Raw genomic sequence first — 26,294 nt, 5'->3', positions numbered from 1 at the left:
GGGATTACAGGTGTGAGTCACTGTGCCCAGCCAGGAATAACACATTTAAAGGTTCCAGAGATGACAATCTGGTATCTTTGAGGGCCATTCTTCAGTCTAATACAAACTATCACAAAGTTAGTGACTTCAAGGAACACACATTTATTTTCTTACAGTTCTGGAGGAATGGGCTAAAATAAAGGTGTCTGTAGGGCTGGTCCCTTCTGGAATCTCCAGGGAGAGTCAATCTCCGGCCTCCTGAGCCTCTAGACAGCAGCATTCCTGGGCTCCCGGCTGCGTCCCTCCAGTCTGCCTCTGTGGTCACACTACAGCCCTCTCTCTCAGCGACCCCCTTCCCTCTTTCCTGTAAGGACCCTCGTGATTCCGCCTGGATCATCCAGGTTAACCTCCCCATCTCAAGGTCCTTGAGGTAGTCACATCTGCAAAGTCCCTGCTGCCATATACAGCAACACATGCACAAGCTCTGAGCACGGGGATGGGGGTGTCGTTGGGGGCTGTTCTTCAGGGTCAACCACACACCCTTCCCCTGTTGCAGATTCTTTTTTTGTTGTTGTTGAGACAGTCTCGCTCTTGTCACCCAGGCTGGAGTGCGGTGGTGCGATCTCAGCTCACTGCAGCCTCCGCCTCCCGGGTTCAAGCGATTCTCCTGGCTCAGCCTCCCGAGTAACTGAGACTACAGGAGCCTGCCACCACGCCCAGATAATTTTTCTATTTTTAGTAGAGATGGGGTTTCACTGTGTTAGCCAGGCTGGTCTCAAACTGCTGACCTCAGGCAATCAGCCCGCCTTGGCCTCCCAAAGTGCTGGGATTACAGGAGTGAGCCACCGCGCCCGGCCTACTGTAGATTCTTCTCTTGCCCCGAGCGGTAACCACCATCTCCAATTCTGTGCAAACCATCCTCCTGGTTTTCTTTATATGTTTATGTGTGTCCAAATATGTTGTATCTTTAAACAATACATCGTTAGGCCAGGTACAGCGGCTCACGCCTGTAATCCCAGCACTTTGGGAGGCTGAGGCAGGCATATCCTTTGAGCCTAGGAGTTCAAGACCAGCCTGGGCAACATGATGAAACCCTGTCTCCACTAAAAATACAAAAAATTAAGCTGGCATAGTGGTGTGTACCTGTAGTTGCAGCTACTCAGGAGGCTGAGGTGGGAGGATCTCCTGAGCCCAGGAGATATATACATATATATATAAATACATATATATGCGTGTGTGTGTGTGTGTGTGTGTATAATTTCTATTCTCTCCACCCCCAGAGGTGAGACTCTGCTTTCTGCCTGCCTTGGAGAAGGGTGGGCGAGATGAGCCGTGTCCCTCACTCCAAGTCACACTTCAGGTCTTCCACGTGGAGACCTCTGAGCTATCAGTGGACGGCGGGATTCCTGGAGCTGCTGGAACAAAGCCCCACAGGCTGGTGGCTTGGACAACAGCCTGTGTTCCTTCCCAGGCTGGGAGGCTCTGGGGAAGAACCGTTCATGCCTCTCCCGGCTCCTGGTGACCCCACGATTCCTGCACTTGCTGACTTAGGGCTGAGCACTCCAGTCCCACTGGCTGCTGTCCCCTGTATCTCCTCCATTCCTGTCTCCTCCAAGGGTGCCGGTCACCAGCTTTAAGGCCCACCCCAAATCCAGGATGATCTTATCTCGAGATCCTTAATTACTTCTGCAATGATTCTTTACCTAAAGAAGCCCCTATTCTCAGGTTCTGGGTGGACCTATCTTTTTTTTTTTTTTTTTTTGCGACAGAGTCTTGCTGTGTTGCCCAGGCTGGAGTGTAGTGGCACAATCTCAGTTCAGTGCAGCCTCAGCCTCAATCTCCTGGGCTCAAGCCATCCTCCCTCCTCAGCCCCCCAGGACACATCTTTAGAGGGTCACCATTCAACGCACTGTGGTGGGCAAGGCTGCTTTGAGTTTCCTGGTTAGGATACAACCAGCGCTGTGTGTGGATGTCCACACATGCCCCCGCCCCCGGCTGTACAGCCACCGGGAGACTGAGTAAAATGTGAACTGAAGGAGGCCCCAAGGGTGGCAAGCAGAGAAATGAAGGGAAATGTCCCTTACCCACGCCTCTCTCCTTCCCCCACGTGACACTTCTCACAGCAGGTACCGGTACGTGTGCACAGAGGAGAACCCAGTGCCCTTCAGGGAAGAGGGTGCTGAGCCCCTGGACCGCACTTAGGTCTCGCCCCAGCTCTGTGATTTGGACCTGGGCCCCCGAGCCCTAGTCACAGCCGGGGCGGCCCAACTCGCTCCGCCATCGGAAGGCTTCTGGTCGCTCTCAGGGAGGAGCCCCTCTCGTATGGGAATCGAGGTGTTCAATGCCCACGATGCGGAGACCGCCTGGCCCGAGTGGGCCAGTGATCTCAGCTTACAGTCCAGCTCCTTCCTCCCCATGGCTAAGAGGTCAGCACCAGCTCAGGCAAGTGGCGAGGGTGGGATGAGGATGACAGACGGGGTGGAGGCAGGTGGCTGCGAGGGGACAGTGTCAGGACCTCCTAGGAGATCAGGTGTGCTGCAGGGAACAGGGAGAGCCTAGGAGGGGACAGGAAAGTGAGGAGGGGGAGTGGAGAGGACTCCCTGGGCAAGAGACACGAGGGCCAGCACTCAGGCCTCCACAGCCATCCACTGCATGAGCCAAGCCCAGGGACAAAGCTCTGTGACCAGGATGCCCCCAGCAGCCTGACCCTAAGAGTTGAGAACTGTGCCCTGTGAGCAATGTGACCTGAGGGTCCCGGAGTCCTGCGGGGGCTGTGCTGTGTGAGGGCCACCTGTCCTTTAGGTGGGGTACTAAGGGGTTGTGTCCTCTATGGGCTGTGTCGTGGGGGGGCTGTGTGTCCTCTGGGGGGCTATGTGTCCTGGGAAGGTCCCTGTGTCCTGGGAAGGTCTCTGTGACCTGGCGGTCTGTGTGTCCTGGGGGGGCTGTGTGTCTTAGGGGGACCTCTGTGTCTTCTGGGGGAATATGTGCCCTGGAAAGGACTCTGTGTACTGGGGGAGGCTGTGTGTCTTAGGGGGGCTGTGTCCTGGGGGGGTTTCTGTGTCCCGGGGGGGCTGTGTGTCCTGGGAGTGCTGTGTCCTGGGGGACCTCTGTGTCCTGGGGGCACTGTGTGTCCTGGGGGGACCTCTGTGTCCTGGAGACTGCGTGTCTTGGGGGTCCTCTGTGTCCTGGGGGGTCTCTGTCCTGGGGACTGTGTGTCTTGGGCACCCTCTGCGTCCTGCAGGAGCTGCGTGTCCTGGGGGGGCTGAGTGACTTGGGGGCCCTCTGTGTCCTGGGGGTCTCTGTCTCCTGAAGGGGGACCCTAGTATTGTGGCGCTTCTGGGCTTGCCTCTCATGAGGGATGATGCACCGGGCCTCAGTTTTGGGTCAGCCTCCTTTACCGGCTCTCCCCCCTTCCTCCGACCGTCAGGTATCCGTGCCAAGCCCTCAACGGGCCATCCTCCTTCCCGCGGCGACCCCGCGCATGACAAGGCCAGACCCTCCCGCGAACGTGCTCTGCGCTCCCGCCTGGCCCCTCCCCGCCCCGCCCCTCCCCCTCCTCCCCGCCCCGCCTCGCTCCGCCCCTCCCCGCCTCCGCCCCGCCCCGCCCGCCCTGCCTCTCCCCGCCTTTCCTCGCCTCGCCCCGCCCCGCCCCGCCCCCTCCTCCCCGCCCCGCCTCGCTCCGCCTCTCCCCGCCTCATCCCGCCCCGCCCGCCCTGCCTCTCCCCGCCTCATCCCGCCCCGCCCGCCCTGCCTCTCCCCGCCTTTCCTCGCCTCGCCTCGCCTCGCCCCGCCCCGCCCCTCCCCGCCCTGCCTCGCCTCGTCTCGCCTCGCTTCGGTTAGATGCGCTCGGCGCTCCATAGGCTCCCTGGTGGGGCGCGGGCGCGCGCACGGACGTCCAGCACGCACGCACGCACGTCCAGCACACACGCACATCCAGCACGCACGCACGTACGTCCGGCACTTCCGGCCGCGGCGGCCTCAGCGCCGGCCCGAAGGGACCAGGCCGCCGTCCCCAGCGAGAGGCATGCAGCGCTGAGGAGCGGCGACCCAGCACGGCGGCGCCATGAACCTCCTGCCGTGTAACCCTCACGGCAACGGGCTGCTCTACGCCGGCTTCAACCAGGACCACGGTGAGGAGGCGCGGCCCTGTCGCCTTGCCCGGCCGGGCCTTCCCGCAGCCCGGGGTCCCCGGCTCTCAGGCCTCTCCTGGGCGCCCCTTTCCGGCCAGGCCTTCCACCCGGGACCCCGGCCCCGCCCGAGCTCCCCTCCGAAGCCCCCGGCCCCGGCCCTCGCCGCTGCTCCCAGCCCGAGCCGGGGTCCGGACCAGGCCCGAACCGGCTCCCACCTTCCTGGCCTTTCGCGCTCCCCCACCCCCCGGGTTGTGACCGCTCCCAGCCGGCCGTCCCGGGCCGAGGTCGAGGTCGGTGGGAGACGGCACAGAACCCCAGCCTCCTGCGCGGACGCCCCTCCCCGCGCGCCACGCCCACTCGGGTTCCCTGGCTCCCTGCGGGCTCCACGGTTATCGGGATTTTCCCCACAGCGTGATTGACGCCCTGCCCAGAACCCCGTTTTGCCCCCTGTTCCTTTCAGGGTCTTTAGTAGGTAGCCCGTGGCTGAGCTGACTTCGCTTGGGTTTACTGGAGCCGCGGAGCCGGCGTCTCCGACGCCTCTGGTGGCGAGTGGCGCGGGTGGGGTGCAGGTCTCACCTTTCCCGTCGGTTTCCATCGGAAAATGTCACTCTCCCCACCCCCACTCCCCGGGATTTTTCTTCGTGTTTGGTGGAGTCAAAGGACTTAAGGGAGGCCTTTGAGGGAAATCTTACTTCTTTTCCCATGTCGGAATCCAGGTGTAAGCACTGGATGATTTAAAGCGCCCAGGGAAGGTGACCTCCTTCCCCGCAGGTGCTTCGGAGCTGCGGGGGATGCGGCCGGGGCGGCGCGGTCGGATTCCCGCGGGAGGCGGGCGGGACCTGGATTCGGATGGTTGCCTCCTCACCTCCCATTTGAAGGGCGCGCTTCCCAAAGGTCCTGATGGGGAGGAAAAGGAATGTCCGTTATTCCGAGACAGGCTTCTGCGAGGCTTTACATGTTGGCTTTGGAAGTTTTGTTTTTGAAGAGAATCCAGGCAGGTGCTGTATGATCCCGTATATGTGAAGACAATTTTATTTATTTATTTATTTCATTTTGAGACGGAGTCTCATTCTGTCGCCCAGCCTGGTGCGATCTCGACTCACTGCAACCTCCTCCTCCCGGGTTCACGCCATTCTCCTGCCTCAGGCTCCTGAGTAGCTGGGATTACAGGCGCCTGCCTCCACGCCCGGCTACTTTTTGTATTTTTAGTAGAGACGGGGTTTCACCATGTTGGCCAGGCTGGTCTCAATCTGACCTCAGGTGATCCACCCGCCTCGGCCTCCCAAAGTGCTGGGATTACAGGCGTGAGCCACTGCGCCCGGCCGGATTACACATATTTGAAAGAACTCCCTCTCAGTGATTTTGATGCCTGATGCCCTGGGACCAGTCAGGCTTCCTGGGCGCTGCCAGCTTCCCCAGGGTTGTGTGCTGGGGTTTCTCCGGAAGAAAGTTTTGCTGAGATGGTAAGGGAGATGCCTAGCCTTCTCAGAGGGTGGTTTCCAACCATCTGGTGTTTGTAATGCCTTCTTTTTAGTGAAGTGTGCTATACCTGTAGAAGGGTGGATATATCATAAGTGTTCAGGTGATGAATTTTCCAAACTACACACCTGTCACTAACAATTAAGAAATTGAATATACCTGGCCACGCTTGATTCCAATAAATGCTCCCTACCTGACTTGTGACATCATAGATTAGTTTTGCCTACTTCTGTACTTTATTTTTGTACTTATTTTTGTTTCTAGCTGTTTTTTTGTTTTGGGTTTTTTTTTTTTTTTTTTTTTTTTGAGACGGAGTTTTCGCTCTTGTTGCCCAGGCTGGAGTGCAATGGCGCGTTCTAGGCTCACTGCAAACTCCGCCTCTCAGGTTCAAGCAATTCTCCTGTCTCAGCCTCCCGAGTAGCTGAGATTACAGGCATGCACCACCATGCCTGGCTAATTTTGTATTTTTAGTAGAGACTGGGTTTCTCCGTGTTGAGTCTGGTCTTGAACTCCTGACCTCAGGTGATCCGCCCACCTCGGCCTCTCAAAGTGCTGGGGTTACAGGCGTGAGCCACGGCGCCAGGCTGTTTCTAGGTTTCTTACTCAACATCATGTTTGTGATTTTTTTTTTCCGTATTGTTGAGTATAGTTGTAGATCTTTTTTTTTTTCTTTTTCCGAGACGGATCTTGCTCTTGCCCAGGCTGGAGTGCTGTGGCGTGATCTCAGCTCACTGCAACCTCTGCCTCCTGGGTTCAAGCGATTCTCCTGCCTCAGGCTCCCGAGTAGTTGGGATTACAGGTGCCCGCCACCGCTCCCGGCTAATTTTTGTATTTTGAATAGAGATGGGGTTTCACCGTGTTAGCCAGGATGGTCTTGATCTCCTGACCCTGTGATCCACCCACCTCGGCTGCCCAAAATGCTGGGATTACAGGTGTGAGCCACCGTGCCCGGCCAGATCATTCTTGATGTACAATGTTCTTTTGTGCAGACATACAACAATTCATATATCCAGTCTACCATGGTTGGGCATTTGGGTACGTTCCAGTTTTTGGCTACCATAAGCATAATATGAGTAATAAGAGTAATGATTAATCTAGAAGATGTCTCTCAGTGACCATATGTTCACATTTCCACAGGCATGTACTTCTATATACCTAGGAGTAGAATTGAGAGTATAGTAGATAGTACAAATAGTTTTCCAAAGTGGTTGTACCACTTTGCCCTCAACTAGCAGGTCTAAGAGTTCCCATGGCTCTACACCCAGCTCACATTTGATGTTTTCTCTTATTTTTGGTCATTTTGGTGGCTGTGTACATCTCTCTGTTGTTTATTTGCATTTTCCTGATTTTGTGTTTCTTGACCACTTGGATATCCTCTTGTGACATGTCTAAGTCTTTTGCCCATTTTTCTATTGAGGATTTTGCCTTTTTCTTGTGGATTTCTAGGAGGTGGTTTGGGTATTTCTATTTTTATTTTTTATTTTTGTTTTTTTTTTTGAGACGGAGTCTTGCTGTGTTGCCCAGGTTGGAGTGCAGTGGCGTGATCTGAGCTCGCTGCAACCTCCCCCTCCTGGGTTCAAGTGATTCTCCTGTCTCAGCCTCCTGAGTAGCTGGGATTACAGGCGCTCACCACCACGACTGGCTAATTTTTTGGTATTTCTAGTAGAGACGGGGTTTCATCGTGTTGGTCAGGCTGGTCTCGAACTCCTGATCTCAGGTGATCCACCTGCCTTGGCCTCCCAAAGTGCTGGGATTACAGGCACATGCCACCATGCCTGGCTAATTTTTGTATTTTTAGTGGAGGGTAGGTTTCACCATGTTGGCCAGGGTGGTCTCGAACTCCTGACCTCAGGTGATCCGCCCACCTCGGTCTCCCAAAGTGCTGGGATTGCAGGCGTGAGCTGCTGCGTCCGGCCTCAAATGGGAGTTTTAGAGGCCTTTGTGTTGGGCTTTCACACCACTTGTGCAGTCATTGGAAAGATCCAGACTTTGCAACATTTCATGTGAAAAATAATTGAGGGGTTTGTTTTTTTCTCTTTCCAGCCACAGCTTCATAGAGCCAACAGTTGGACATGGCATTTAAGGAGATGGATGTAGTCCCTGGGTCACACACGAGCATTAACACACGATCATCTACGCACTTAAGTGCTTTATTCAGTTTCTAACAGTGCTGTTTATTTGGACCATTAACAGCCTGCTGTGTGACTTGGAGGCAGTGACCAGGATGAGTGACCTGGGTAACTCATTGAGACTCTGACAGGATTTTAAGGAGTTAGGATGATTTATAGGTGGGAGCAAAGTCACGGGAGACCACCCTGTAAATGGGAAAGAGCATCCTTTCCTCACCTTCCCGGTTCCTGGAGTCTAGGACTACCTCTTGTCTCCCCAGCACCCTGCCCTTCCCTTCACCTGGTGTCCACAGTGGGCGGGATTGCCTGCTTGGTGGCTTTCCTCTAGAAGTGTCCTTCACGTTTGTCACTGATCGTCCTCCAAGCCTGGGCCATGGGGATGCCACAGAAGGCCCCTGCAGTGGGGAAGTTGTGTGAACAACTCCAAGACTCCTTTGCTAAAGGACAAACAAAATGCCCTGCATGGATGTGCTTGTCACTTAGTAACATTTGTACAAGGACAGGAGTTGTGACTTAGCACCTATCGTGTCTGTGTGGTTTGAGCATCTGCAAGAGTTCTCAGTAGTTGTCATTTCTCCAGACCTCTTTCTTTTAACCACTCCAGGCCTGGGGATTAATGTCTCTTTTACACTTCTGCTTTAGGATGCTTTGCGTGTGGGATGGAAAATGGATTCCGAGTCTATAACACTGATCCACTAAAAGAAAAAGAGAAACAAGGTAAGAATTAACGGGACATTTTCTGGTTTCTCCCCTTTCCAACCCTCGGAGTCTTAAATTTAACCTTGCAGGTGGAGCAGGGAAGGGATGGCTGTTTTCGAGAAGTAAATAGGGTTCATGGCCCCTCATAAACTTGGAGGGAGCTGTCCTCTTTCTTTCGTTGAGCTTCTACAGGTGCTGAGGGATACAGGTGTTGAGCAGGTTTGTTCACTGGCCTGATTTCTCTAGTGAATTATCGATCAGCATGAACTTCTTGTGCCTTTTCCTGTCACATCAGGGATTTTTGGCAGCAGAAACCTCTTTTCAAGTAAAGTCTTACCTGTAACCCTGGGATGTAGAACAGTAAGTGGTGCTTTATGTCTGGGAGTTTATTTTGTAAGTCAGGGTGCATTTCCTCAGCCTGCATCCATGCTGTGTACGTTTGAGTCCTGGTTCTGCCCTTTACCAGGTTGCTGTGCGACCTTGGGCAAATTTCTCAGCCTCTTTGGGCCTCTATTTTTTTTTTTTCCTTCTTCCGAGACGGGATCTTGCTCTGTCGCCCAGGCTGGAGTGCAATGGCATGACCTCGGCTCATTGCAACCTCCGCCTCCCGGGTTCAAGCGGTTCTCCTGCCTCGGCCTCCCGAGTAGCTGGGATTACAGGCACCCACCACCACAACCGGCTAATTTTTGTATTTTTAGTAGAGACGGGGTTTCACCATTTTGGCCAGGCTGGTCTCTAACTCCTGACCTCATGATCCATGCACCTCGGCCTCTCAAAGTGCTGGGATTACAGACGTGAGCCACCGTCCCCGGCCACCTCACTTTCTTTGTACGTGAAATAAGGTTGATAACAATGCCTGCCTCAGAGTTATTGTAAAAATGAGTCAGGGTGCGTAAGACACGCAGATTAATGCCTGCGCGCACATTAGGTGCTGTGGAGTGTATGATGCCACATACACTGTATGATGGGATTTATGCAGATAAATGTATGATGGGATAATGATGGGATTTATGCAGATAAGTAGTTGCAAAACATTTTAAAACAGCTTGACTTGCAAATCTCAGGATACTTTTTACTGAATTGACCCAGAAGCTTACAGGAGAGTTGTAGACGTTGGTGTCCAAGTTGAATCATTAGCAGCTGTGTGGGAAAAACCCCCCAGCCATGTTTTCTCTCCACTCTTAACAGCACGACAGTTGTCAGCACAGAAGACTTCTGTGACTGAATGTGGGGAATTTCTCCCCACACACCAAGCAGTGGACACCAGCTGGGTGTCCTTTCAGTTCTGACGCCATCTACCTAGAGATAGAGTCAGATCCCACAGGTTGAGGGCTCAGTCCCCAAGACTGCCCCAGTCCCCACCATGCATGAGTCTGGGCCTCCTAAACTTCAGACTGACTGGCTTCAAGTTGGGGTTCCCACAGCCCCCTCCTTGGATTCAATTAATGTGCTGGAGCGGCTCCCAGAACTTGGGGAAGCACATTTACCAGTTTATTATAAAGCAGCGGTCTGCAGCCTTTTCGGCACCGGGGACTGGTTTCATGGAAGACAGTTTTTTTCATAGGGGGATGGTTTCGGGATGAAACTGTTCCCACTCAGATCATCAGGCATTAGAGTCTCAGGAGGAGCGTGCAGCCTCCATCCCTCGCGTGTGCCGTTCACAGTGGGGTTCATGCTTCTGTGAGAATCGTATGCTGCCGCTGATCTGTCGGGGCAGAGCTTGGTGGGGATGCTTGTTCGCCTGCTGCTTGCGTCCTGCTGTGCAGCCTGGTTCCTAACAGGCCACGGACCAGTACTGCCCCGGGGTTGCAGACCCATTGTAAAGGATAATTGCCAAGAATACAGATGAGGGCAAGCACGGAACAAGGTGTGGGGGGACAGGCTATGGAGTTTCCAAGCCCTCCCTCGGCTGCCACCCTCCAGAACCTTCCATGTGTTCAGCTGACCTCTTGGATTTTTATGTTTTTTATTTTTTTACTTCAAAATTCATTTTTCTTTGATTTTTTTTTTCTCTTTTTTCCCACATGTGTTACAGAAAATACCTCTTGGAGATATATACATATCTATCTCTGACGTTGTCTCGCTCTGTTGCCCAGGCTGGAGTGCAGTGGTGTGATCTCGGCTCACTGCAAGCTCCGCCTCCCGGGTTCAGGCCTTTCTCCTGCCTCAGCCTCCCGAGTAGCTGGGATTGCAGGCACCTGCCACCACGCCTGGCTAATTTTTTTTGTATGTTTGGTAGAGACGGTGTTTCACTGTGTTAGCCAGGATGGTCTTGATCTCCTGACCTCGTGATCCGCCCACCTTGTCCTCCCAAAGTGCTGGGATTACAGGCATGAGCCACCGCACCCCGGCCACCTCTTGGATTTTTAAGGAAGCTTCATAGTATCTGCATTGCTTCTCCTAGTGTGCAGGGTGGGAGCTTCTCTATGGAGGTTCTTCAGACCCACAATCAGGTGGAGAAGATTTGAGTTCTGCCTTAGCAGGTGAAAGGGCAGGAGAGAGATTCTGGTTCCTGAGGGCCTAACACACCCAATATTATAACAAAAGATTGTAACAAGGTCTGGGAGTTATGAGCCAGGAACCGTGGGTGAAAACCTGTATGTGTCTCTCTCATAACACCACAACAGCATATTAACAACTGCTTCCTAATTAATGAAGTGTTTACAGTAAATTCAACATTTCTTATAAAAATGAGTTTGACGGCCCGCACGGTGGCTCACGCCTGTAATCCCAGCACTTTGGGAGGCTGAGGCGAGCAGATTGCCTGAGCTCAGGAGTTCGAGACCAGCCTGGGCAACACGGTGAAACCCCATCTCTACTACAAATACAAAAAGTTAGCCAGGCGTGGTGGCGCATACCTGTAATTCAAATTACTGGGGAGGTTGAGGCACGAGAATCACTTAAACCCGGGAGGCCGAGGTTGCAGTGAGCCGAGATTGCGCCACTGCACTCCATCCTGGGCGACAGAGCAAGACTCCGTCTCAAAAAAAAAAAAAACCCAGACAAGAAACATCTAAAACTTCTAAATTCCAGAAAAGTATACCATTGTCATGGTTTAGCTCATCACACACATATACCCGGTCTTGTGCGTCTGCCAGCTCGGCTGTGTCTGGGGCAGGCTGTCCCTGAGCTTAGCATGCAGTGAGTTCTCACATGTGCATGTGTGGTGTGCTCCCGTTTCCAGCTTATGTGAGTAGATAGGCCCTAATGTGAAATGGATACAGTAGGGCCACACTGTCTTTTTGATGGCACATTTAAACAGTTTGGCTCTGCACTTACAGACTCATCTGCTGCTCTGCGTCTGGCAGCTTACAGTTTAACAATGAAGAGCAGGCCAGGCCTCTAATCCCAGCACTTTGGGAGGCCAAGGTGGGCAGATCACGAGGTCAGGAGATCGAAACCATCCTGGCCGGCACAGTGAAACCCCATCTCTACTAAAAATACAAAAATTAGCTGGACCTGGTGGTGCGTGCCTTTAATCCCAGCTACTCGGGAGGCTGAGGCAGGAGAATTGCTTGAACCAGGGAGTCGGAGGTTGCAGTGAGCCGAGATCTCGCCACTGCACTGCAGCCTGATGGCAGAGTGAGACTCTGTCTTAAAAAAAAAAAAAAAAGAAAAAAATCCCAGTGAAGAGCAGCACCAGACTTGCCCTTGTTCCTTTTTAATTGTAGCAGTTTGCTTTCCTGAGTGGTGGGGAAGGAAGCCTGCATGACAGTGTGTCCTGGATCTGGGCTTGTGGCATGGTTCTCTCCAGGGTGACTGTGCATTGAGTAAGGAGACTGTGGGCTCTGAGCAGGCTGCTGTTTCCAGATACGCCTTCTGCCACTTGGCAGGAACGGGAAGCTGGTAGTTCAGGGAAGCCTTCTTGGGGATCCCTGCTCCTTCAGTCTTGGGGGGCAGTGTTGTCCAACCCTGCTCCCCGACATAGGTCCTGCATCCATTGTACACCCAGGTTTGTTCTTTCCACACACACAGCCCAGCCACCCTCCCGACCCACACACAGCCCAGCAGCCCACCTGACCCGACACACACACAGCCCAGCAGCCCACCTGACCCGACACACACACAACCCAGCAGCCCTCCCGACCCACACACAGCTCGGCAGCCCACCTGACCCGACACACAGCCCGGCAGCCCTCCCGACCTGACACACACACAGCCCAGCAGCCCTCCCGACCCCACACACACACAGCCCAGCAGCCCGCCCCACCTACACACAGCCCAGCAGCCTACCTGACCTGACACACAGCCTGGCAGCCCTCTCGACCTGACACAGCCCAGCAGCCCGCCAGACCCGACACACACACAGCCCGGCAGCCTCAGCACATCTAGCTTCACAACAGGTCCTGCAGGCTTCGTGCTGTGTGCTCACCCAGCGTGCCAGGTGAAGGTGCTAGAGAAATGGGAGGCCTGCAATGTGTAGGTAGCAGGTGGTTCCTGCGGGTGGGGAGGACACAGAGGTGGTGGGTAGCTTTGGGAAGGAGGTGGAAAGGGGAAGTTTGGTAACCTGGTGGTAGAAGGTTAAATTGGTAGAGCCTTGTGGAGTAATTTGGCAAGCTGTGTTCATTATAGATGTACTGTTTGGTGCCTGTATACCAATATTACTTGCAACGCTGTTTCCAAGAGTGGAAAATTGGAGAACCCGAATGACTTTCATGAAAGGGGTGATTACTGTGGTTGTGGCACATCCTCAAAATGGTGCTTCATGCGGTAAGAATGCCGAGACCAATCTGAATCCTCATTTGGAGAGATGGCCATGGCATTGTTAAAGGAAAAAGAAAGTAGAGAATAGCATAGATGGTGTTATAGGAACAAAATATCTATGCACAAAGTTTAGAACATACGTGGCCAGGCAGAGTGGCTCATGCCTGTAATCCCAGCACTTTAGGAGGCCGAGGCAGGTGGATCACGAGGTCAGGAGATCGAGACCATCCTGGCCAACATGGTGAAACCCCATCTCTACTAAAAATAAAAAAATTAGCCGGGCATGGTGGTGGGTGCCTGTAGTCCCAGCTACTTGGAAGGCTGAGGCAGGAGAATCACTTGAACCCAGGAGGCGGAGGTTACAGTGAGCCGAGATCGTGCCACTGCACTCCAGCCTGGTGACAGAGCGAGACTCTGTCTCAAAAAAAGTACATAAATGATGTTGTTTCACAGTGTTTTCTACTTTATGCTTTTCTGTGTTGTTTTATAGAAATGATGCATAATTTTTATAATGGGAAATAAGGTTTTCTTTAAAAATAAAACTCCACAGAAATAGGAACGAGAAACAGGGACTGCACGACATGACAGAGGCAAAAATAAAAAGGTTATTAGCCTCAAGTGCTAGAATGGTTGATTTTCACTCATTTGTATAAAGTGATTCATTTTTCAAGCATCTCTTAGTGGAATAGAAGTTATGCCAGTATTCAGACATCCCCTTTCCCCATTTTCTTTTATTAGTTTCTTGTGTTTTGCAGCAGGCTCTGTTGGGAGAGTCTGGGCCTGTCAAGATGTGGTGTAATTATATATTTTGGTTTTCACCCTGGCCGGTAACTCCCACAGACCTGGTTAGTCTTTTTGTTACAATATTGGCCCTCAGGGGAGGCCTCTGACCTTCTCCTACCCCCCTTTCACCCTAACGTGTCCTGTCTCCCCACCACCACCCCACCTTCCTTCCTTTCTTTTCTTTTTTCTTTCTTTCTTTCCTCCTCCCCCCTCCCCTCCCCTCCCCTCCCCTCCCCTCCCCTCCCCTCCTCTCCCCTCCCCTCCCTTTCCCTCCCCTCCCTTTCCCTCGCCTCCCCTCTTCTTTGACAGAATCTCTCCCAGGCTGGAGTGCAGTGGCTCCATCTTGGCTCACTGCAACCTCCACCTCATGGGTTCAAGCGATTCTCGTGCCTCAGCCTTCCAAGTAGCTGGGATTACAGGCACATGCCACCACACCTGGCTACGTTTTTTTGTTTGTTTTGTATTTTTAGTAGAGATGGGGTTTCACCACGTTGACCAGGCTGGTCTCGAACTCTTGACTTCAAGTTATTTGTCTGCCTCGGCCTCCCAGAGTGCTGGGATTACAGGCATTAACCACCACACCCCCACCCTTTCTAATTGTGGGTCTCAGGACCCTCCCCAGAGAAGGCCGTACCCTCTGCCCCTGGGAAAGGAATGCTGATATCATGAAGCTTCCATAAAATCCCAAGGAGACGGGGTTCAGAGAGCTTCACGGAAGCTTTGTGTCCTTCCCCTAATACCTTGCCCTATGCATCTCTTCATCTGTATCCTTTGTAATATTCTTTGTTATAAACTGGTAAACATAAGGAAGTGTTTCCCTGAGTTCGGTGAGCCGTGCCAGCAAATTGAACCCAAAGAAGGGGTCACGGGAACCCCAACTTGAAGCTGGTCAGTCAGAAGTTTTGAAGGTTCTAACTTGTGACTGGTGTGTGGTGCAGTCGGTCTTGGGGACTGAGCCTTCAACCTGTGGGATCTAATACTCTCTCCAGGTAGATGGTGTCAGAACTGAGTTAGAGGAAGACCAGCTGGGGTTTGCTGTGCGGTTTCTGCTTTAGTCACAGAAGTCTTCTGTGTTGGTGATTGTGTGAGAATAGAGACCATGATTAGAGGAGAGGGTTTTTCTCTGTACCACAAGGACTGGGGTGTACCTCAAGTTTTCCTCAGCTGATGTTTAGTAGGAGCCTGTTTTGTGTCCTACGCAACCTATTGCTGCAATTTTAGTTGCTGTTACAGACAAGTCCGACCGCCAGGGACCCTTAGAGATGTAGACGCTGACATCCTGGGCAGGCTTGGGCATTTCTTCTTTTTGTGGGTATAAAATGTTCCAGGAATAAATAAATGCTCAGTGCTGTGAAGTAAAACCAGCACTCAGGCAAAAGTTTAATTCTCTCAGTAAGGCAATTTACTTCTGCAGAAGGGTGCCCCTTGCATCAGTCAAGATGGCAAGAGCACAGAGAACAAAGGAGACCGGGGGTTTTTATCCTGAACGCAGTCCCTATCTCTGTGTCACTCCCCTATGGGCTGGGGTCGGACTGCACAATCTGAGCTGACCCAATAGGCTACTTGTACATATTTTTCTAAATATAGAAGGGGAGGGGGATGTGAGGTACAGAGGTGGAGCGTGTGAGACGTGCAGTTTCAGGGGAACAATGTGTACAGGTAACCAAGGGAACAGGTGTGAGTTATTGATTAGAGTTGACGGGAAGCGGGTAGGCTGTTTACAGTAACTAGGGGCAAGGAAGAACAAGAAAGTCGAGTTCGAGAACAAAGGATAAGGAAGTTAACAGGCTAAATAAACCCTTTGAAGAGAAACTCAGAAAGATTTATTGTATCTTACATTTTTCTGTAACAACGAATATCCTTTGTAATATTTCAGTACCAGCCCTTGGGATCTGGAACATAGAAAGCTCTGAATGTAACCCTGGTCTTTCTGTGGGGAGACCCTTTCCCCCTCTTCAGCTGCAGGAGGTGGGGGTCAGGTATTATGGGAGAATCTCTTTGGCGGGGTTTAGAAGTCCTCTCTAATTCCTGAAGTTTGGCTCTTACCTTTGATTACTTCTCATTCCAGGAAAGGCCTTAACTCTCCTTCTCTGCCTCTTCACTTGATTCTGAAAAATCTGTTTTTCTTTTTTTTCTTTCCATTTTTAAAACCCAGAGACCGCATAGCTAACTGTGCCTGTGACTGACTGTGTTTGTCTTCTTTTTTTTTTTTTTTTTTTGAGACGGAGTCTTGCTCTGTCACCCAGGCTGGAGTGCAGTGGCGTGATCTCGGCTCACTGCAACCTCCACCTGCCGGGTTCAAGTGATTCTCCTGCCTCAGCCTCCCGAGTAGCTGGGACTACACAGCTGGCTGATTTTTGTATTTTTATTTTTTATTTATGTATTTATTTGAGAGACGAAGTTTCACTCTTGTTGCCCAGGCTAGAGTGCAGTGACGCGATCTCGGCTCACCGCACCCTCTGCCTCCCGGGTTCAAGTGATTCTCCTGCCCCAACTTCTCGAGTAGCTGGGATTATAGGCATGCGCCACCACACCTGGCAAGTTTTGTATTTTTAGTAGAGACGGGGGTTTTCCATGTTGGTCGCGCTGGTCTTGAACTCCCGACCTGAGGGATCCACCTGCCTCGGCCTGGCCTCCCAGAGTGCTGAGATTATAGGTGTCAGCCCCTGCACCCAGCCAACATTTCTTTACTTAACCATTAGCTAGAATCACATCTTGCTAAGGGAATGACTTGTTGCTTTTAGAACTTGAAAAGACGGCTGCGCACAGTGGCTAATGCCTGTAATCCCAGCACTTTGGGAGGCCGAGGTGGGTGGATCTCCTGAGGTCAGGAGTTCGAGACCAGCCTGGCCAACATGGTGAAACGCCGTCTCTACTAAAAATACAAAAATTAGCTGGGTGTGATGGGCGCCTGTAATCCCAGCTACTTGGGAGGCTGAGGCAGGAGAATCACTTGAACCCAGGAGGTGGAGGTTGCAGTGAGCCAAGATCGCACCACTGCACTCCATCCTGGGCGACAAGAGCAAAACTCCATCTCAAAAAAAAAAAAAAAACCTGAAAAGACTTATGATATAATCAAGCATTAATAACTTTATTAATAAGCCTAAGATCATGTAGTTTATAAAAGGGCTAAACATTGTCTCTCGGTTAAATAGTGTTTGAAGAGTACATTAGTGACCTTGACATAATTCTCAGGTCACTCAGATGTGTTTCTAAAACTTACTGAACCTACATTGAGGAAATAGTTACACTTCTGACACCTGGGGCAAAGAAGGTCTTCAGTGGCAGCATTTTTTAAAAAAAAAATTATGGTAAAAAATTATGTAAAATAAAATTTACCATCTTAACCATTTTTAAGCGCATAGATCAGTAATGTTGAATATATTCACATTGTTGTTAAACGGACCTCTAGAATTTCATCTTGGGAAGCCAAAGTCTACATCCATCAATTCTGCCTCCCCTGTCTCCTAGTAACCACCGTGCTACTTTTCTGTCTCCATGAACTTGACTGCTGTAGGGACTTCCCGTGAATGCCATCATATATGCCTGGCTTATTTCACTTAGTGTAGTGTTCTCTAGGTTGATCTCTGTTGCAGCCTGGGTCAGAACTTCAGGCCGGGTACCGCAGCTCACCCCTGTAATCCCAGTGTTTTCAGAGTCTGAGGCAGGAGGATTGCTTGAGGCCAGGAGTTTGAGACCAGTCTGGGCAACATAGTGAGACCTTATCTTGACAAAATCATAAATGAGAAATATTGTTTCTGTTTAAGGCTGAATAATAAATCACTGCACGTATGGAGCACGTGCTGTTTGTTCATTTCTCCATCTGTGGACACTCGGGTCCTTCTGCATCTTTGCTATTGTGAATGATGCTGCTACAAGCGTGGGTGTGCGGGTATCTCTTCCAGACCCTGCCTTGAGTTCTTTTGCTTGTATGACTAGAAGTGGGATTGCTGGATCATATGGTAACTTTGTTTTTTTCTTTTTTTTTGAGACAGAGTCTCGCCCTGTCGCCCAGGCTGGATGGAGTGCACTGGCGAGATCTCGGCTCACTGCAGCCTCCGCCTCCCGGGTTCAAGCAGTTCTCCTGCCTCAGCCTCCCGAGTAGCTGGGATTACAGATGTGCACTGCCGCTCCTGGCTAATTTTTGTATTTTTAGTAGAGACAGGGTTTCACCATGTTGGCCAGGATGGTCTTGATCGCCCGACCTCATGATTCGCCTGCCTCGGCCTCCCAAGGTGTTGGGTTTATGGGTATGAGCCACTGCATCTGGTCATTTGGTAACTTTTTGATTTATAAAAATCAGCCTTTTTTTTTTTTTTTTTTTTTTTTGAGATGGAGTCTCACTGTGTCACCCAGGCTGGCGTGCAGTGTCACAATCTCGGCTCACTGCAACGTCCGCTTCCCGGGTTCAAGCGATTCTCCTGCCTCAGCCTCCCAAGTAGCTGGGATTACAGGCACCTGCCACCACGCCTGGCTAATTTTTTTGAATTTTTAGTAGAGACGAGGTTTCACCATGTTGGCCAAGCTGGTTTCAAACTCCTGACCTCAAGTGATCCACCTGCCTTGCCTCCCGAAGTGCTGAGATAACAGGCATGAGCCACCACGCCTGGCCTTTTTATTATTTTTTAATTGAGGGAGCGTCTCACTGTGTTGCCCAGGCTGATCTTAAACTCCTGGCCTCAAGTCATCATCCTGCCTTGGCCTCCCAGGGTGCTGGGATTATAGGTGTGAGTGAGCTGCTGTGCCCAGCCTCTTTTTAATTTTTTGAGGACCTGTCCTACTTTTTTCCAGAGCAGCTGCATCAGACAGTGCATGAGAGTTCCCATAGCTTCATATCTTGGCCAGTACTTGTTATTTCCTGGGTTAAAAAACAATATTAGCCATCCTCTGCAGTGAGCCCTGTTCTCATCACTGCACTTGCCTGAGCAACACTGTCTCAAAAAAAGAAAAAAAATTAGTCATCTTCATGGGTATGAGGTGGTGGGATCTCATTGTGGTTTGGTTTTGATGTCTCTGATGCCTAATGAAGTTGAGCATCTTTCTTTGTACTTGTTGGCCATTTGTAAATTATCTTTGAAGAAACACTACTCAAATCCTTTGCCAATTTTAAAATCAGATTATTAATTTTTTTATTGTTGAGTTGTAAAAGTCCTTCATATATTCTGGATATTACGCACTGTATCAGATGTGTGGTTTGTAAATATGCTCTGCCGTTCCATAGGTTGTGTTTTCATTCTGTTGATTGTGTCCTTTGGTGCACAAAAGTTTGATGTCCCAAAAGCACATTGCCCGTGCTGGTTTTTTTTTTTTTTTTTTTGAGATGGAGTCTCCCTCCTTCGCCCAGGCTGGAGTGCAGTGGTGCAATCCTTGCTCACTGCAACCTCTGCCTCCCGGGCTCAAGCGATTCTCCTGCCACAGACTCCTATATAGCTGGGATTACAGGCGCCTGCCACCACAGCCAGCTAATTTTTGTATTTTTAGTAGAGACGGAGTTTCACTATGTTGGCCAGGTCGAACTCCTGACCTCAAGTAATCCACCTGCCTCAGCCTCCCAAAGTGCTGAGATTACAGGCGTGAGCCACTGCGGCCGGCGAATTTTTTAATTTTTATTTTTGGTAGAGAAGGGATTTCCTTATGTTGCCCAGGATGGCCTTGAACTCTTGGGCTCAAGCAGTCCTCCCACCTCTGCCTGCCAAAGTGCTGGGATTACAGATGTGAGCCACTGTGCCCGGCTGCCTTGAATTTTAAATATCTCGAAGATCGAGCTGAGGAACTTTTGAGTCATTTCGTGCAGCTGTGACTGGAGAGATAGAGCTCATGGTCATTGCAGACACAGAAGTGGGTGGGTGGATGGTCCTCCTGAGTTACGTGAACCATGCAGAACGTGGGAGTTTCTCATCAGTGTGCCCCTGTTGCTCCCCTCAGAGAGCATTGGTCATCCTTTTGTCATGGAAGACCTCTGAAAATTTGTGGACATTTTCCTCTTACGTAATTCATGAACAGTTGGGAGCATTTCAGACTTCGGTGGCTCACACTTACAATCCCAGCATTTTGGGAGGCTGAGATGGCAGGATTGTTTGAGACCAGGAGTTCACGACCAGCCTGGGCAATACAGTATGACCTCGCCTCTACAAAAACTTTTCTGAAAAAATTAACCAGGCGCGGTGATGTGTGCCTGTAGTCCCAGCTACTCGGGAGGCTGAAGCAGGAGGAGTCCTTGAGCCCGGGAGTTTGAGGCTGTAGTGAGCTGTGATCACTTCACTGCACTCAAGCCTGAGCAACACAGCAAGACCCTGTTTCTTAAAAAAAAAGGAAATGATAAAAGTCACTCAGCTTTTGCATTAAAGTTTTGTGGGGTTTTTTTGGTTTGTTTTTATTTTTGTTTTTATTTATTTATCTTGAGATAGAGTCTCGCTCTGTCACCAGGCTGGAGTGCAGTGGTGTGATCTCGGCTCACTGCAGCCTCAGCCTCCGGGGTTCAAGTGATTCTCCTGCCTCAGCTCCTGAGTGGCTGGGACTACAGGTGCCTGCCACCACGCCGGCTAATTTTTGTATTTGTAGTAAAGACAGCGTTTCACCATGTTGGCCCAGATGGTCTCAGTCTCTTGACCTCATCATCTGCCCGCCTCAGCCTCCCAAGCATTAAAGCTTTTAGTATGCTGTCTTGGAGTTGACAGGTTTTGCCACCTCTTGAAATGTGAATTCAAGTATTTCATACATTTTGCTGAGTTAGCTTCCTAGGGTGTTGTGTGCTCAGCCTTTATGAAACAGTGAACATGATGACAGTAAACTGAGAGAATTTGGAAACCTAGCACTCACTATTTTTTTAGCCAGTCACCTTTCTCATTTCTGACGATAGTTAGATATAAATTGCTGATTAAAAATGAGTCCTGTAGGCCGGGCACAGTGGCTCATGTCTGTAGTCCCAGCATTTTGGGAGGCCGAGGCAGACTGATCGCCTGAGTTCAGGAGTTTGAGATCAGCCTGGCCAGCATAGTGAAACCCCATCTCTACTAAAAATACAAAAATTAGCTGGGCATGGTGGCACATGCTTGTAATCCCAACTACCTGGGGAGGCTGAGGCAGGAGAGTGGCTTGAACCCAGGAGGTGGAGGTTGCAGTAAGCCGAGATCGCGCGACTGCACTCTAGCCTGGGTGACAGAGCAAGACTCCTTCTCAAAAAAAAAAAAAAAAAAAAAAAATGAGTCCTGTATTCCCAGCTACTTGGGAAGCTGAGGCAGGAGGATCATGTGAGCCCAGGAGTTCAAGGCTGCAGTGAGCTGTGATTGTACCTGTGAATAGCTACTGCATTCCAGCCTGGGCAACACAGTGAGATCTTGTCTCTTACAAAAAATAGAAAATTGCTGCGTTACCTGTCTTGACTTTCTCTTTTCTTTTTTATTGTAAAATATACATATTAACTTGTAACATTGGTCTTTTTAAAACTATCATTTCAGAATTTCTAGAAGGAGGAGTTGGCCATGTTGAAATGTTATTTCGCTGCAACTATTTAGCTTTAGTTGGTGGTGGAAAAAAGCCGAAATACCCTCCCAACAAAGGTACTGTAATTGTGTATTGAAGAATCATGCCTCACGTGTCCCACCCAGTCTTTTTTTGAATGCGTTTATGTTTGTGGCCATGTGTGATTTTCCCTAGTAGTTCTGTGAAATATCCAGGACTGGTCACTGGGGAGGAAGCAGGCGAAGAGGGCACCAGGTCTCTATTCCCAGATGGAGCACCTAAAGAGCATCACTCGCTTGCATTGTCATAGAACACGTGCGTTTCAGTCAGTAAACGGAAAACGGGCCTGCTGCACCTTAGGTTGACGTCGTAAATGTCATGAATTCATTTTAAAGCAAGGTAGAAGGATTTTTTTTCTTACAGAGAGCCATTGACTTAAAGGAACATTAGTTTCATAGCCACGTGGAACAAAACACCACTTGGGCTCTGGGTTTCGGGATATGTTTGTCGGAGTGGGAGTACGTGTGTGTATGCAGATGATGTGGCGTAAGAGCTCTGGCCCTTTTAAGTAGAGGGAGGAGTAGATAGCTTTCCTGACAGCCGTGTGCCTCGTGCCAGCTTAACCTCGCTGTTGGTTGAGGAAAGAGGGCTCAAGGCGAAAGATCCAGGAATGGAGGGCAGAACACAGGGAAGAGGTGGGAGGCGGGAGGTAGGCTGGGTGGGGGAGGTGGGAGGCAGATCTGGGGGAGGCTTGAATGCCAGGTAACGTGTGGCCAGGAAGGAGATGCCGTCAGATCTGTGTTTTGGGAAAGTTCTGGTCTAGATGCAGTGCATGAGGTGAGTGAAGAGACACCAGAGGATGGGGCAGGTGTGGGAAGCCCCCGTTTATGGGGAGAGGCAGGAAAAGTGGAGCAAGCATCCTCGTCTGAGCCCAGTGCCAGGCGGGAGGAGGCCTGAGAAAAGCCATCTGGTTCTGGTGACATTGAAGGCCACCGGTGGTCTCAGAGGATGACTGAGTGGGAGCCCAGTGGTGGGTGGGTAGGGTGGGAGGAGGTGAGGAGGGAAGGAGAGGCTCAGTGAGGGAGGCAGTTCAGAATCAAGACCAGGATGGGGCTCTGGGGGCGCCGCATGCCAAATGGGAAGTGAGTGGGTGAACTAGGATCTGGGTGATATCACGTACTTAGGAATAGAATAGCCCAGGTCAGATCAGGCACAAAAGGATTGTGTGGAAAGGCAGAAGGTTCCAGATGACTCGTGACAAGCTTTGGGGCCCAGCTCACAGTTCTCAGCAGAGCCCCGTGAACTGCGTGAACGTGAATGTGCGGAAGAGAGACCACACTCGGGTGAGGACTGGCCCTGCCTGATACATTTATTTTTGTTTTGGAATTAGGAACAGAGAAATGAAATGGGAAGAGATTATCGGTAGGAAAAACAGTGGAAGACAGGGCTTGAGATCTTGGCCTTTGAGCGGTTCTGTAATCTCACAAGGTTTGTCTGTGCCAGCTTTAAAGCAGAGTTGAGAGTGGCTGCTAGCATAGCCCAGAGGGGCAGAGGCCTGTGGCTTGTGAGTCCTCTGGAGGAGCCCACCCAGAAGGGACAGCGGAGGTTCCACAGAGAGAGCAGGGCAGGATTTGCAGGAGAATGACTTTGCCCTGGCTAATTGGGGATGGGCAGAAATCCTGCTGGTGAATTGGTCTGTGTCTTGTCATGGAGAACTTCATTGACCATTAAGGAGGAAAGGAAGCTTATAGATGGAAGTCAGGAGGCCTAGAGGGCCGCCTCCCTTGCCCTACCTCTGGCACTGCTGGGGGACCCCAGGTGCTAACAAGGGAGCCATTTGTATGAGATAATCTCAGGTCTCATTCTCATTATAAAGTTTCTAAGAGGTGAAAAAGCCTTAGAAACTTCACAGACTTAGAAGAAAGCAGTATTCAGCAGGTTTTTGAGTAAATGTACTTTTTGTAGCGTTTAAAGGTACTTTTTTTTACTAGTAAACTTGATTTTTATTTATTTAGTTTTGAGACAGGGTCTCACTGTGTTGCCCAGGCTGGAATGCAGTTGCGCAGTCCTGGCTCACTGCAGCTTCTACCTCCCCAGGCTCAGGTGATCCTTCCGCCTCAGCCTCCCGAGTAGCTGGGAGTACCGGAGCACCCACCACACCCGGCTACCTTTTGTGTTTTTAGTAGAGACGGCGTTTCCACATGTTGCCCACGCTGGTCTCAAACTCCTGAGCTCCATTGATCCGCCTGCCTCTGCCTCCCAAAGCGCTGGGATTACAGGTGTGAGCCATCACACCCAGCTGTGTTTTTTGTGTGTTTTTTTGAGACAGGGTCTCCCTCTGTTGCCCAGCTTGGAGTGCAGTGGGGTGATCATAGCTCACTGCAGCCTCAGACTCCTGGACTCTACCTGAGTAGCTGTGACTAATTTTTAATAACTTTTTTTTTCAGAAATGGGAGTCTCACTATGTTGCCCAGGCTGGTCTTGAACTCTTGGCCTCAAGCGATCTCACACCCCAGCCTCCCAAAGTGCTGGGATTACAGGCGTGAGCCACCGCACCCATCCCTCCTGTGGTTCTTCAAAAGCACGGTGCTGGTTGGCATTCTCATCCCTAAAGCTTGTCGGTACATTAGCCCTTAGAACACAAACTGCTAATTTATGCTAATAGAATGTTGCAATGTTAGCAGGCAAACAAGACAGAAGAAATTTTGAACTTAAAAAGGAGCAGGGGCTGGGTGCAGTGGCTCACACGTGCAGTCCTAGCACTTTGGGAAGTTGAGGTGGGCAGATCACTTCAGCCCAGAAGTTCGAGACCAGCCTGGACAACATGGTAAAACCCCATCTCTACCAAAAATACAAAACTTAGCTGGGCATGGTAGTGCATGCCTGTAGTCCCAGCCATTTGGGAAGCTGACGTGGGAGAATCTCTTGAGCCTGGGAGGTCAAGGCTGTAGTGAGCCAAGATTGCGCCACCGCACTCCAGCCTGGGCGAGAGAATGAGACCCTGTCTCAAAAAGAAAAACAGAAAAAGAGGAAGAACAACCCAGGACCTTGAGTGGAGTGAGGAACTTGTTGGCCCTGATTTGTGTCCCTCTGATTTCACTTTAAAACTGAAACCTCCCTTCCTGATGCAGGTTTATTTGCAGCACTTTTAACATCAGTACCTATGGTCAGGCTTGCCTATGGGCTCAGTCGGGTGGAATCAAGGAAGGTCAGGGAGAGGAACGTAACCAGGCAAGGGCAAGGGTTGGCAGAGAGAGATGAACGCGCTCAGCGCGCCTGTGTGCGAGGCCAGTGGGTCGCCTGAGACCGGGACCGGGCTGTGCGCACTGAGAGAGGAACGGACGGGGAGGGAGCAATGGTTGGCAGAGAGAGATGAATGCGCTTAGCGTGCCTGTGTGTGAGGCCAGTGAGTGGGTCACCTGAGAACAGGACCGGGCTGTGCACACTGAGAGAGGAATGGGCGGGGAGGGAGCAAGTGGGCAGCCAGCTACCAAGAAGGGGAGACGCTTTGAGTGGGGAAGGTGCCCGAGGGCGGATCCCTGGCACAGCTCACGGTTTGAGTTACACCCCAAGGCCTCCCAGGTGCGGGTGTGTGTCTGAGGCCTGAGGGTGGGCGCAGCTGTGCCAGTGGGAAGAGAAAACACCTTAGGCGCCAAGCTGGCATCGCTGCATCCCAGCGCCATGGCCTGCTGATGACTGCATTCATCTTTTCTTTCTGATATTTCAGTAATGATCTGGGATGACCTGAAGAAGAAGACTGTTATTGAAATAGAATTTTCTACAGAAGTCAAGGCAGTCAAGCTGCGGCGAGATAGGTGGGTTTGGTGTCAGTAATTTTTTAAAGTGGTATTTCACTTTCTCAAAAGATGGCTGAAATACTTTTCTATTTTTGGCAGAAAAATGTTTAGGAAATGATGTATTAAAATGTTGGTCCTGGTTTTTATGACCATAAGGATATAAGGATTATTTATATTGCTGCAAGAAAGGCAGCGAATTGTGTTTGTTTCCAGGGCTCCGCTGGAGGTAAGTAGGTGGTGGCGTGGATGACGTGCGCCACAGTGGACCAGCCAGTGGGTCTCACCGTGGTGAGTTATGTCCCATTCCGACATGTGCAGAGCTGAGGACATGAGTTTTGAGCCTTGAATTACCCTGGGCTTTTAGCCCCTGCTTTGCCAAATGCTGCCTCTCAATAAAGGTTTTCGGTTTGAAGGTAAAGGAAAATTGAATTTTCTGTGTTGAAAGTAGCAGGTGGTTCTGTCAGCCATGGTCTCAGGGGCGTTTAGGGGGAATATGGAAGTTTGTCCTAGTACGTTGAGCAAGATAGCGCAGAGTTCGTTCATTTGGGTTTTTATTTAATATGATTTGCATATTTTACTCTAAGATTTCCATCTCTGTCGGCTGTGGGAGGACAGCAGCCGAGCAAGTTGGATGTAAACAGAGGTCATTTCACCTCCCTGCCCTTTTTTTTTTTTTTTTTTTTTTTTTGGGAGATAGAGTCTTGCTCTGTTGCCAGACTGGAGTGCAGTGGCACAATCTCAGTTCACTGTAACCTCTGCCTCCCGGGTTCAAGCAATTCCTGCCTCAGCCTCCGGAGTAGCTGGGACTACAGGCGCACACCACCAAGCCTGGCTGATTTTGTATCTTTAGTAGAGACAGGGTTTCACCATGTTGGCCAGGATGGTCTTGATCCCTTGACCTCATGATCCACCCGCCTCAGCCTCCCAAAGTGCTGGGATTACAGGTGTGAGCCACTGCGCCCGGCCAACTTTCCTGCATTTTTGTGTGGGTTTGTCATTTTAATAACGTCAATATTTAAAGGCCCTTAGTAATGCAAATGTGGCCGGGCACCGTGGCTCATGCCTGTAATCCCAGCACTTTGGGAGGCTGAGGCAGGCGGATCACAAGGTCAGGAGTTAGAGACCAGCCTGGC

General features: G+C 50.8%; 1 protein-coding gene across 5 annotated transcripts in view, besides 5 other annotated features; it reads left to right on the top strand.

Moving 5' to 3' along the window:
- Window positions 3,347-3,416: an enhancer, noted in NCBI's record as "active region_13013". NCBI's record gives its function as "activates an Ori minimal core promoter by ATAC-STARR-seq in GM12878 lymphoblastoid cells {active_cell/tissue: GM12878}" and the evidence as "EXISTENCE:reporter gene assay evidence [ECO:0000049][PMID:35858748]".
- Window positions 3,707-3,776: a silencer, noted in NCBI's record as "silent region_9222". NCBI's record gives its function as "represses an Ori minimal core promoter by ATAC-STARR-seq in GM12878 lymphoblastoid cells {active_cell/tissue: GM12878}" and the evidence as "EXISTENCE:reporter gene assay evidence [ECO:0000049][PMID:35858748]".
- Window positions 3,795-4,294: an enhancer, noted in NCBI's record as "H3K27ac hESC enhancer chr17:80605965-80606464 (GRCh37/hg19 assembly coordinates)". NCBI's record gives its function as "activates a minimal SCP1, AML or CMV promoter by ChIP-STARR-seq in primed H9 embryonic stem cells {active_cell/tissue: H9 hESC(primed)}" and the evidence as "EXISTENCE:reporter gene assay evidence [ECO:0000049][PMID:30033119]".
- Window positions 3,939-26,294, top strand: part of WDR45B (WD repeat domain 45B) — a 33,883-nt gene continuing 11,527 nt past the window's right edge. For 2 of the 5 annotated variants that reach the window (NM_019613.4, XM_047436414.1), the window contains exons 1-4: window positions 3,939-4,109; window positions 8,360-8,434; window positions 21,361-21,462; window positions 25,092-25,179. In NM_019613.4, the coding sequence (NP_062559.2) occupies window positions 4,043-4,109; window positions 8,360-8,434; window positions 21,361-21,462; window positions 25,092-25,179 (332 nt within the window). In that variant the 5' untranslated portion in view covers window positions 3,939-4,042. Of the gene's footprint in view, window positions 4,110-8,359; window positions 8,435-21,360; window positions 21,463-21,957; window positions 22,853-25,091; window positions 25,180-25,374; window positions 25,575-26,294 lie in introns of those variants that run through there. The other 3 variants (XM_005256377.6, XM_047436413.1, XM_047436412.1) reach the window with 3 other exon arrangements.
- Window positions 4,377-4,426: a silencer, noted in NCBI's record as "silent region_9221". NCBI's record gives its function as "represses an Ori minimal core promoter by ATAC-STARR-seq in GM12878 lymphoblastoid cells {active_cell/tissue: GM12878}" and the evidence as "EXISTENCE:reporter gene assay evidence [ECO:0000049][PMID:35858748]".
- Window positions 4,437-4,486: a silencer, noted in NCBI's record as "silent region_9220". NCBI's record gives its function as "represses an Ori minimal core promoter by ATAC-STARR-seq in GM12878 lymphoblastoid cells {active_cell/tissue: GM12878}" and the evidence as "EXISTENCE:reporter gene assay evidence [ECO:0000049][PMID:35858748]".

The sequence above is a fragment of the Homo sapiens genome, chromosome 17 (genome assembly GCF_000001405.40).
Source record: "Homo sapiens chromosome 17, GRCh38.p14 Primary Assembly".
Taxonomy (NCBI): Eukaryota; Metazoa; Chordata; class Mammalia; order Primates; family Hominidae; genus Homo; species Homo sapiens.
The sequence above is the reverse complement of the archived record's forward strand: the minus strand, read 5'-3'. Positions and strand labels throughout refer to the sequence as shown.